General features: G+C 44.7%; 3 annotated features.

Moving 5' to 3' along the window:
* Positions 227-748: an enhancer, noted in NCBI's record as "OCT4-NANOG-H3K27ac-H3K4me1 hESC enhancer chr4:188953587-188954108 (GRCh37/hg19 assembly coordinates)". NCBI's record gives its function as "activates a minimal SCP1, AML or CMV promoter by ChIP-STARR-seq in naive and primed H9 embryonic stem cells {active_cell/tissue: H9 hESC(naive and primed)}" and the evidence as "EXISTENCE:reporter gene assay evidence [ECO:0000049][PMID:30033119]".
* Positions 749-1,270: an enhancer, noted in NCBI's record as "OCT4-NANOG-H3K27ac-H3K4me1 hESC enhancer chr4:188953065-188953586 (GRCh37/hg19 assembly coordinates)". NCBI's record gives its function as "activates a minimal SCP1, AML or CMV promoter by ChIP-STARR-seq in naive and primed H9 embryonic stem cells {active_cell/tissue: H9 hESC(naive and primed)}" and the evidence as "EXISTENCE:reporter gene assay evidence [ECO:0000049][PMID:30033119]".
* Positions 10,851-11,388: an enhancer, noted in NCBI's record as "H3K27ac-H3K4me1 hESC enhancer chr4:188942947-188943484 (GRCh37/hg19 assembly coordinates)". NCBI's record gives its function as "activates a minimal SCP1, AML or CMV promoter by ChIP-STARR-seq in naive H9 embryonic stem cells {active_cell/tissue: H9 hESC(naive)}" and the evidence as "EXISTENCE:reporter gene assay evidence [ECO:0000049][PMID:30033119]".

The following is an 11,853-nucleotide window of genomic DNA, read 5'->3' as shown; positions in this document are numbered from 1 at the left end:
TATTATTTTTTTTTGAGACTGAGTTTCACTCTGTGGCTCAGGCTGGAGTGCGGTGCCGCGATCTCGGCTCACTGCAACCTCCGCCTCCTGGGTTCAAGCGATTCTCCTGCCTCAGCCTCCCCAGTAGCTGGGATTACAGGCGCGCACCACCATGCCCGGCTAATTTTTGTATTTGTAGTAGAGACGGGGTTTCACCATGTTGACCAGACTGGTCTCGAACTCCTGACCTCAGGCAATCCACCCGCCTCGGCCTCCCAAACTGCTGGGATTACAGGCGTGAGCCCCCGCGCCCGGCCTATTATTAATGTTTTACAGATAAGAGGTTGAAGCGCAAAAACGAAGTGCATTTCCCTAGATGGCTGGGCGAGTTAGAGGGAAAGGAGGGTCAAGAGCGCAGCTCTCCCAGCGCCAGGCTTTCCATTCCCCTCGTCGGAGGAAACCACTGTCCTCGTTGAATGTCTCCCGTTGTTTCCTTTTGTGTCTTTTGAAGGCACATTTCTAGAAGGACTCTTGACAATAGCCTTGGTTTGTCTGTGTCTTGGAGATGTGGAACTCATTTAAAGTGCATTTTTAGTACTTTATACAATTATTTGTATATACTTGGGACTTTTCGTGGAGTGGAGCCGCGATAGAGCTGTGTGCTGCGTTTGAATATCCGCATGGGCAATGAATAGTAATGAGGTGGTTGCCGAATTCGTTCAACTTGTGTGACTGTTGGGCAGGCCGACAAGGGCAGAGAGGTGACCCCGACTCTGACAGGAAACTAATGACAATACCTTAACCAAGAGAAAAACAGCTTCAGCCTCCGTAAAGAGGTCCTAGTTCAGAGTAATTATCATTAGTAAGTGATTAGAGAGGAGCTTTCTGAAGTGGGCTGATGGGCTATTTGCATCTGAATCACACGAGGCATTTGTTAATCCGGTGGGTTTCACCCTGGCTAGGCTGAATCAGGAGCTCTGGGCTGGGATCATGAATGTATAACATCATCTAACTTCAAGAGGAACCAATAAAATAAAATTAGCTAATGAAAGAGAATTTGTAGTTGTTTTCGAATGTGTACGATGTTCAGTTTTAAAAACAGGGTGGATAGAGCCGGAGCGAAACTCCCGCTTGCCTAAGGAAGGGCTGCACTTTCTGACTTTCTTCCCAGGAGCGCGGTGTGGAAAAAGGATCTTACGGTGGAGAAACCTGACAACACACCGCAGTCCGGGATCAAGGCCCGCACCCACCGCGCTCAGCCACGGCCGTCCTTTCCGCAGGAAGCGAGGAGGGTGGCACATCATCCTCAAAACTCATGTTCTACACCCGAGCCTTCAGATCCTGTGACTCTACCTTCAAAACAGAGAATCTGAGCCCTTTTCACCTGCTCAGCTCAGTCCTGCAGCAAGAAAGCCATAGGCATTATGCAAGTGAGTAAGCAAGGCCAGTGTTTCGGTAAAACTTTATTTAGGAAAAACAGGGCGGAGGCCACGTTTCACCTGCTGGATGTAGTTTGCCAATCCCCTGCTTTGGCCTAACTTATAAACAGAAAGGTTTTTTTCTTTCTGATTTCTTTTTTCTTTTTTTTTTGAGACAGAGTGTCGCTCTTGTCACCCAGGCTGGAGTGCAGTGGGGCTCACTGCAACCCCTGCCTCTCAGGTTCAAGAGATTCTCCTGCCTCAGCCTCCTGAGTAGCTGGGATTACAGGTGTGCGCAACCAGGCTCGGCTAATTTTTGTATTTTTAGTAGAGATGGGGTTTCACCATGTTGGCCAGGCTGGTCTCGCACTCCTGACCTCAAGTGATCTGCCCACCTTGGCCTCCCAAAATGTTGGTATTACAGGCATGAGCCACCGCACCCAGCCTTTTCTTTCGTTTTTTTTTTCTAGATGTTTACTAGTTTTATTTTAACATTTGTGTCTATGACTCATTGTGAGTTCCCTTTCCCTATCACCCTGGTTCAAGCCTCCATCAAAGCTTGCCTGCTTATTGTGATTCAACGGCTTCCACACATGTAAGCATCATTTAACAATAAGTCACAGTGTAGAACAGGTCCATCTTCCATCTCCCTCCAACTCTCCTCATGCCCTTCCTAGTTAATCCTCCTGTCACAACCACCACTTTCATGGTCTCTGGCAGCCACTGATCTGCTTTCTCTAACTGTAGGCTTGCTTTTCTGCAATCCATTTTTATTTAAATGGAATCACATAGTATGTGCCCTTTTGTGTATGGCTTCATTCACTTAGCAAATGCATGTGAGATTTGTTTAGGTTGTTATATGTAGTAGTGAATTATTCCTTTTGAGGGCTCAGGAGTATTGCATTGTATGTACATAGGGTAATGTGTTTATCCATTCGCCAGCTGATGGACATTTGGGTTGTTTCCAGTTCTTGGCAATTTGGAATAAAGCTGCAATGAACATCACAGGGCATGTCTTTGTGTGAACATGTTTTCATTTCAGTTGGTTGAGTACCTAGCAGCAGGTTTGCTGGGCCATACAGGAGGAGAGGGTAAACTTTTTAAGAAACTGCATACTTTTCATTTTGCATTCCCTCTAGCAATTTGTGAGAGTTCCAGTTGTCTCATACTCTTGACAAAGCTTGGCATTGTCAGCCGCTTAAAATTCAGCCATTGTAGTGGCTACGTAGTGGTATCTCGCTGTAATTTTAATTTGCATTTTCCCAATAACTAATGATGTTGAGTATGCTTTTATATGTACTTGTTTGCCATTTATATATATTCATTTGTGAATTGTCTATTCAAATCCTTTGCCCAGTTTTTAATTAGGTTGATTTTTTTTATTATTGAGTTATAAAAGCGCTTTATGTATTTTGGATACAAGTCCTTTATTAGATTTATGTTTTGCATATATTTTCTTCCAGATTATGGTTTGCCATTTTGGAGTTGTGCCTTTTTAATTATGGTGAAGTGCAATTCATCATTTTTTTCTTTTATGGTTTGTACATTTGTTATCCTATCTAATAGATCCTTGTTAAGAACTAAACCCTTCTCAAATTGATCTATAGATTCAATATAATCCACATCAATATCCCAACAGTGTTTTTTTGTAGAAATTGGTAAGCTGCCCCTAAAACATATATGTAAATGAAGGGACACAGAATAGCCAAAACAATTTTAAATAAGAACAAAGTTAAAAGACTTAGATTACCTAATGTCAAGATTTACCATAGGCTGGGCAAGGTGGCTCATGCCTTTAATCCCAGTACTTTGGGAGGCCGAGGCAGGTGGATCACGCGGTCAGGAGTTTGAGACCAGCCTGGCCAACATAGTGAAATCCCATCTCCAGTAAAAATACAAAAAATTAGCTGGGCGTGGTGGTGGGCGCCTGTAATCCCAGCTACTTGGGTGGCTGAGGCAGGAGAATCGCTTGAACCTGGGAGACGGAGGTTGCGGTGAGCCGAGATCGTGCCATTGCACTCCAGCCCAGGCGACAGTGTGAGACTCCGAAAAAAAAAAAGACTTACCATAAAGATACAGTAATCAAGACAGTGTTGTATTTGTGTAAGAATCAACATAGAAATCAATAGAGCAAAATAGAGAGTCCAAAATAGAGAGACAAATACACACACATGCACACACACACAGGCGCACACACACACGTAAACACACACAGAGGCACACACAAAGGCGCACACACACAGGCGCACACACAGGCACACACACACGTAAACACACATAGAGGCACACACAAAGGCGCACACACACACAGGCACACACACAGGCACACACAGGCACAGACATGCACACACACAGGCGCACACACGTAAACACACACAGAGGCACACACAAAGGTGTACACACACAGGCACACACGGGCACATACACAGGTGCACACACAGGCACACATACACAGGTGCGCACACACACAGGCGCACACACATAGGTGCACACGCACACAGGCGGGTACACACAGGCACACACATACAGGTGCACACGTACACACAGGCATGCACACACAGGTGCACACACACAGGCACACACACAGGTGCACACACATGCAGGCGCACACACAGGCACACACACAGGCACACACACAGGCGCGCACACAGGCACACACACAGGTGCGCACACACACACACAGGCACACACACACAGGTGCGCAAACACACAGGTGCGCACACACACAGGTGCACACGTTTAGTTGACTTTTTTGTTTTTTGGAGACTCTGTCGCCCAGGCTGGAGTGCAACCTGCAACCTCAGTGGAACCTCTGCTTCCCAGATTCAAGCGATTCTCCTGCCTCAGCCTCCTGAGCAGCTAGGACTACAGGTGCGTGCCACCACGCCTGGCTAGTTTTTGTATTTTTAGTAGAGACAGGGTTTCACCATGTTGACCAGGCCGGTCTCGAACTCCTGACCTCAAGTGATCCGTCTGCCTTGGTCTCTCAAAGTGCTGGGATTACAGATGTGAGCCACTGTGCCCCACTCAATTGATTTTTGACTGAAGTGTCAAGGTAAAGGGAAAACATAATCATTCAACAAATAGTGCTGAACAATTAGATATCCATAGGCCAGAAATATGTTAAATATAAATAAGACATATTTTCTATATAAACTCAAGCATTAGCTAACACTCACACAAATAACCTCAAAATGAACCACAGACCCAAATGAAAAAATAGGGGCCCATGTCCTTAGGATCTCCCGAGGGCTGTGACATGGGCAACTGGCCACTCATGTTTTGGCTCAGAATAAATCTCTTCATATATAAAAAAGGAATAAATACGATTATAAAATGTCTAGAAGAAAACAGAGAGAAAAATTCCTTGTGTTTATAAGTTAGGCCAAAGCAGGGGTCGGTAAACTATGGCTGGCAGATAAAGCATGGCCCCGTGCCTGTTTTTGTAAATAAAGTTTTCCTGAAACAGAATCATGCTCATTCACTTACATAACTGCCTATGGCTTTCACACTATAGTAGCTGAGTTCAGTAGCTGCAACAGAGATCATATGAACCATAACGTTTAAAAATACTCATGATCGCCGAGCGCAGTGGCTCATGCCTGTAATCCCAGCACTTTGGGAGGCCGAGGCAGGTGGATCACCTGAGGTCCTGAGTTCGAGACCAGCCAGACCAACATGAATAAATCCTGTCTCTACTAAAAATACAAAATTAGCCAGGCATGGTGGCGCATGCCTGTAATCCCAGCTATTCCAGAGGCTGAGGCAGGAGAATGGCTTGAATCCGGGAGTTGGAGGTTGCGGTGAGCCGAGATCCCGTCATTGCACTCCAGCCTGGGCAACAAGAGCAAAACTCCGTCTCAAAAAAAAAAAAATACTCATGATCTGGCCCTTTATAGAAAAAGTTTGCTGACCCCTGGGCCGGACGATTTCAAATGGAAGCACAGGTACATAACAAAGAAACTGTCAGAAGTGCCGGTACTGTCTTGTGTGGTTCTCTGGATCTCCACACTCCCAGGTCTCTGAACCCATCTACTCTACTATCTCCCCCAATTCCCCCACCTGGCTCAGGGCTCTGGGCATGCTTTTGATGGTGAATCAACATAGCCGGCAATTCTTGCCTTAGGGCCTTTGCCCTGGACAGTCCTTGCCTGGAACACTTTCTACTGATACTCACTAGGTCCTCACTTCCTTCCAGTCTCAGATCCGACTTCACTTTTGTATTGAGGCCTATATTTACCACCTGTCACCTTTGTCACTCATGCTGCCCGCTCCCTCAACACCTATTCCAAGCCAGTTCTGCTTTTTCTTTTTCTCTGCATAGCACTTACCATCTTCTCATATTCATTTAAACTTGCGTTTTATTTTTTATTTATTTGTTTGTTTGTTTGTTTGTTTTGAGATGGAGTTTCACTCTTGTCACCCGGGCTGCAGTGCAATGGTACAATCTCTGCTGACTGCAACCTCTGCCTCCCGGGTTCAAGCGAGTCTGCTGCCTCAGCTTCCCGTGTAGCTGGGATTACAGGCACCCGCCACCATGCCCAGCTAAGTTTGTAGTTTTAGTAGAGACAGTGTTTCACCGCCTTGCTCAGGCTGGTCTCGAACTCTTGACCTCAGGTGATCCACCTGCTTCGGCCTCCCAAAGTGCAGTGCTGGGATTACAGGTGTGAGCCACTGCGCCCGGCTAAACTTGCTTTTTAAAGTGTTTTTTATGATTGAAATGAGATGAACAAAGTATAATTTCATGAATCACAGTTTATTGCCATGTAAAGAGGTTTTTTTTTGTAGCTTTTGTTGTTGTTTATTTCAGTGCTCAAAAGGGGGAGAATAATGAGAACAGCTCTCACAGGGAATCCACTCCATGGAGGAGGGAGGTCCATTAACCACAGAGTAAGTGAGTTCTAATTTTATTAAAGTCTAGTTGGTCAGTTAGGATGGCAGAAGGCCTCTGTAGCCGTACAGTTGAATGCAAGTGTGAGGTGTCTCTTTCTAGGAGGTGTCCCTTTCTAGGAGAGGTTCTTTGGAGAGTGAATTTCAGCAATGCAGCATAGATCCACCATGACACAAGGCCCCTGATGCCAGCCAGTGGTGCCAGTGTTGGTGGGTACGGCTTCAGAGACTTGCCTGAAGGTTGGCAGACAGTATTCTTGCCACAGCCTGAACTCTCAATGTGCCTGTCAAAATCTCACATTTTCTGTGTTTGGGGTCTAGAGGTTGAAGCCAGCAACACATATGTGGCCTGATAAAGTGTGACCCAGCATTCTCGTGGGGAAGATTACACTCCATGTTTTTATCACAGGAAAACGTTAAGTCACTCATGTAGCAAATTACGTGTTTGAACTCATTTCAAAGCTACATAATAAAATCATTTCTCGGCCGGGCACAGTGGCTCACGCCTGTAATCCCAGCACTTTGAGAGGCCGAGGCAGGCAGACCACGAGGTCAGGAGTTCGAGACCAGCCTGGCTAACATGGTGAAACCCCATCTCTACTAAAAATACAAAAAAATTAGCCAGGCGTGGTGGCAGGTGCCTGTAATCTCAGCTACTCGGGAGGCTGAGGCAAGAGAATCGCTCGAACCCAGGAGGCGGAGGTTGCAGTGAGCTGAGATTGCAAAATCACACTCCAGTCTGGGGGACAAGAGCGAAGCTTCGTCTGAAAAAAAAAAAAAAGTCATTTTTCAACTTCCGCCTTTCCAAAAGGTAAGCTCTATGACTGTGGGAACTGTTATCTTACAAAGCACTAAGGGTACTTTTCATGTTGGAGATGCTTCCTGTGTATTTTATCATACTTAGCTTTCATGGAGACATTTAGCTAGTGCCTATTATTTGCTTTGATAGAAAAGTATTATCCCTATGTATAATTATCTAGCTTAATAATTGCTACAATTTACGACATGCCCATGAAGAGGCCAGGTGTAAAGACCCACATCATCTTATTCAATAGTCACAATAACCTGGACACATAAACTGTTATCACAGTGTTACAGAGTCACCTGGTAATTTGCTGAGGATCACACAGTTCACTAAATTGCAGACAAAATATTCAAACAGGATGTCTCATGATGTCCTTGCTTTGTTCAGTGCTTTACATTCTGGAGACACTACACTCCAGACTACCAGCAGGCAGCCACCTGGATTTCAGGCAGCGGCCCACAAGAGCAGCATAACTGTCTCTAAAACACGCCAATTGAATTTTATTTGAGGTTTGCCAATTTCTTTATATTGATATCTGGAAAATGCAAGTATTAAATTTAAAGGGTATACTAAATAAATTATTATGTTACTATATTAATTCATTATTTGTTGGTGTATAAATTGCAAAGGACCAAAATGCCTTTTCCAAAACCCCTGAGGTCAGATATTTAGAATTCACAGTGTTTTTCTGTTTTGTTTTGTTTGAGACGGAGTCTTGCTGTATTGCTCAGGCTGGAGTGCAGTGGTGCAATCTCAGCTCACTGCAACCTCTGCCTCCCAGGTTCAAGTGATTCTCCTGCCTCACTTGAGTAGGTGGGACTACAGGTGTGTGTCACCACGCCCAGCTAACTTTTGTATTTTTAGTGGAGACAGGGTTTCACCATGTTGGCCAGGCTGGTCTCCATCTCTTGACCTCGTGATCCGCCCTCCTTGGCCTCCCAAAGTGCTGGGATTACAGGCGTGAGCCCCCGCACCTGGCCTCAGAGTGTTTTTTAGAGACAGGAGACAATCCACACACCATCTATCAGTTCTCCTAAGAGGGATTTGGGGCAGTATATTATGATTATACATATTTCTGCAGGAGAATGTATAAGTATTCATACTTAATGGGGTATGTAAAGATTGTAGAAAGCTTTGCATATGTTTTGCTACCAAATGAGGTCAGAGAAGTTTTGGTCTGAAGCCCTTCAGCCTGCCAGCTCTGTTTCCTCTGGCAAATTATTCAACCATCATGTGCCTCAGTTTCCCAATCTATACAAGTGGTATCTACATTCTCGCATGGCAAAGATGTTTAAGGTAGTATATGCGTGGATGTAAAGAGTTAGGCTGGGCATGGTGGCTCACACCTGTAATCCCTGCACTTGGGGAGGCTGAGGCAGGTGGATCGCTTGAGCCTAGGAGTCCAAGACCAGCCTAGGTAACATAGTGAGGCCCTGTTGCTAAACAGGTAGAAAAATTAGCCAGGTGTGATGGCGTGCCTGCGGTCCCAGCTACTTGGGAGGCAGAGGCAGGAGGATTGTTTAAGCCTGGGAGGTTGAGGCTGTAGTGAGCGGAGGTCACGCCACTGCACTCTAGTCTGGGCAACAGAGTGAGACCCTGTCTCAAAAAAAAACAAAACAAAACATTAGACCTTAGTAACCGCACATAGTAACTGCTCAGTAAGTGTTGGCAAAGGGTATACGTGTTCTGTGGCGGGAAATGAGAATGATCAACAGGCTTTTCTTCAGTAAAATGTTAGAATACTTAGTTTTCTGTCAGAATTACAAAATAATTTCACTCTTCATAATATAGAGCTTTTGTTTCATTTATCTTAACTTATAATTTATGGAATATTAAGGTCACCTAAAAGAGTGACTCCAGGGTCAGTTTTTCTTTTAATGCAATTTCCTTGCTTCTTTTTGATTCACAAATAAACCACTCAATATGCTTCTTAAGTAGCCTGTTTCTCATTATCTCATCCCTGTCTGTATTAACATAATCTATTATTTATTCTCAGACCAAATTACCATAATATTTGATGTTTCAGCTAGGTTAGTGACTTCCGGCCAGGACTAGAATACACTGCTGAAAGTGGTTTCAGCATTTTAATGATTCATACTATCCTGGATGCAGCAGAGACTCTGCCATCCTTTCCATCCTGAAGTGAACAAAGTAAAATCAGTGTAAACTATGTCAAAACCTTCCTGAGGTTAGACACGCAATCTCTGAGCAATGTTAAACTGTGGTAGAAAAGGTGCAGCCCTCTCTGCCTCTGCTAGCCCGTCACTAGCCACCTGGCTGTCTCTCAAAGCTCCTTTTTGAATGAAAATGCTGGGACAGCCTGAGGCGCTTTTTCTTTTTCTTTTTTTTTTTTTGAGATGGAGTCTTGCTCTGTCACCAGGCTGGAGTGCAGTGGCGTGATCTCGGCTCACTGCAAACTCTGCCTCCTGGGTTCAAGCGATTCTCCTGCCTCAGCCTCCCAAGTAACTGGGATTGCAGGCATGTGCCACCACGTAGTTTTAGTAGAGATGGGGGGTTTTGCCATGTTGGCCAGGATGGTCTCGATATCCTGACTTCCTGATCCGCCCACGTCACCCTCTCAAAGTGCCGGGATTACAGGCTTGAACCATCGTGCCCAACAGAAGCCTTTTTTATTTCTATTTTTATTTTTTTGAGACAACGTTCCCTCTGCCTGGAATATTTGGGTCCTCCCTCCACCACCATCCCCCCTCCTCACCCAGCTTCCTGTCGTCTTTCATTTCCCAGCCTAATTAGAAGTTCCATCAGCAAAGCCTCCCCTGAGTCCACACGTTTGGTTTGGATGCCTCTCTTAGCACACAGCGTAAACCTCGATTTTACTGTTGAGTAAAATCATGGGCCCAGCATGTTATAACTGGGCTTAGAAAGTGAGAGGAACCAGATCTGTCTTCTTCCAGGTTGCATTCCCAGAGCTTAACAAAGCACCTGGGATGTGGCAGTTATGATTTGTTAAGTAAATGAACCTCTGAAAAGTTCTCTTGAGTGGAAGAATAGCATAATACCATTGCCCTATAGAGTTATGATAACAAAATAAGGTGCTGTGTGTGAATATGCTTATGTATGAAATGCTTAGCAGGCAACGGGCATTCAATAAATCTTACTGGAATATGAAATCTGCACTTTCTCGGAGTCACAATATCACAGCTTTGTAGTTTTGCTGTAGATTCAGTTCAGACGACTATTCTGTCCACAGATATTATACACACTAACGCTCCTTTCACTCTACACACCAGTTCTTTTGTTTGTTTGCTTGTTTGTTCAATGGATTGGAAAATATGCGAAAATATAAACACGCTTTTAGTATGGTTGGGTGCCTGATTGCTCTTCTAATTTTGGAATGCCTTAAACTGTTGTTGGGCTCAGAAGACGTCCTCTGGCTTGCTGAGGACTTGGAGCAAAGGGCCTGGGAGGGCCTTGGAGGGCCTCAGAAGCAAAGTTTCTGACCTTCTCCTCGCCTTCCTCCTCCTGCTAAACTTTCTCCCCCAAGGCCGACCATAGAAACTAGGAAACTAGGGCCGGGTGCGGTGGCTCATGTCTGTAATCCCAACACTGTGGGAAGCCGAGGCGGGTGGATCATCTGAGGTCAGGAGTTCGAGACCAGCCTGTCCAACATGGCAAAACCTGGTATCTACTAAAAATACAAAAATTAGCCGGCTGTGGTGGCGCATGCCTGTAATCCCAGTTATTCGGGAGGTTGAGGCAGAAGATCCACTTAAGCCTGGGAGGCAGAAGTTGGAGTGAGCTGAGATTGTGCCACTGCACTCCAGCCTGGGCAACAGAGTGAGACTCCATCTCAAAACACAAACAAACAAACAAGGAAACTAAAATCCCTCTTCCCCAAGGCAAGTCCATAGAAACCAGAACCATTCTCCCTGAAAGCTAGCCTTAAAACCTAAAAAAAAATTACTCCAATCTTCCCCTGCCTTTCTGTGTAAGAGTTGGCCATAAAGAAACTATCTGGTCTATTTTGCCTGCACGGAGGTCATAAACCCGCATTCCAGAAGGGCCCTGCCCCATACCCAGGAGGAAGGGATGCTGCATGCTGCAGGGAGAGGCTGAGAAGAATCTGAACAGACAGGCCTTGCTGGGTGTCTGCACTCAGTCTGTTAGCATTAGAGCTTCCCCTTTTGTTCACTCACATTTCTACAAAGATGTCCCCTAATCACCCAGCCTAAGCATAAAAACAGACAGTTTTCTGGGGACCTCTGGGGCTTCATTTCTGAAGGTTCCTTTGTCACGTAAAAAAAAACTTTGATCAAATAAATATGTTATGCTTTTCTCTTGTTAACCTGTCTTTTATTACGGGAGTGTCAGCCAGGAGCGTTATGATGGGGAAGTAAGGGGTCATACTCTTTTCACCCCACAGTGTTTTGCAAACACATTTTGTTCAATAAAACCCTAGAACTCATTTTGTAAAGGACATTTTCTATTATTTTCTAAGTAAACATATTTTACAGAAAATTAAAGCCATTCATTTCTGATTTATTTATACTCAGGAAACAATGAACAACCTGCTTTAAGAAGTCATAATAGTTCATTATTATTACATGTATACACAATATGTTCCTTCTATCAGTGATAATAGTTTATTATTATTTCATGTATACACAATATGTTCATCAGTGGGTACTATTGGGTGAAAGCATGATAAAGAACAGGATATATGCGTAGTCTCCAAGTATCCCCCAGAAGTTGCTTATCAATAACAAAGGAAAAACAGTAACTTGCCTGTCGAGAAATTAA

The sequence above is a fragment of the Homo sapiens genome, chromosome 4 (genome assembly GCF_000001405.40).
Source record: "Homo sapiens chromosome 4, GRCh38.p14 Primary Assembly".
NCBI lineage: Eukaryota > Metazoa > Chordata > Mammalia > Primates > Hominidae > Homo > Homo sapiens.
The sequence above is the reverse complement of the archived record's forward strand: the minus strand, read 5'-3'. Positions and strand labels throughout refer to the sequence as shown.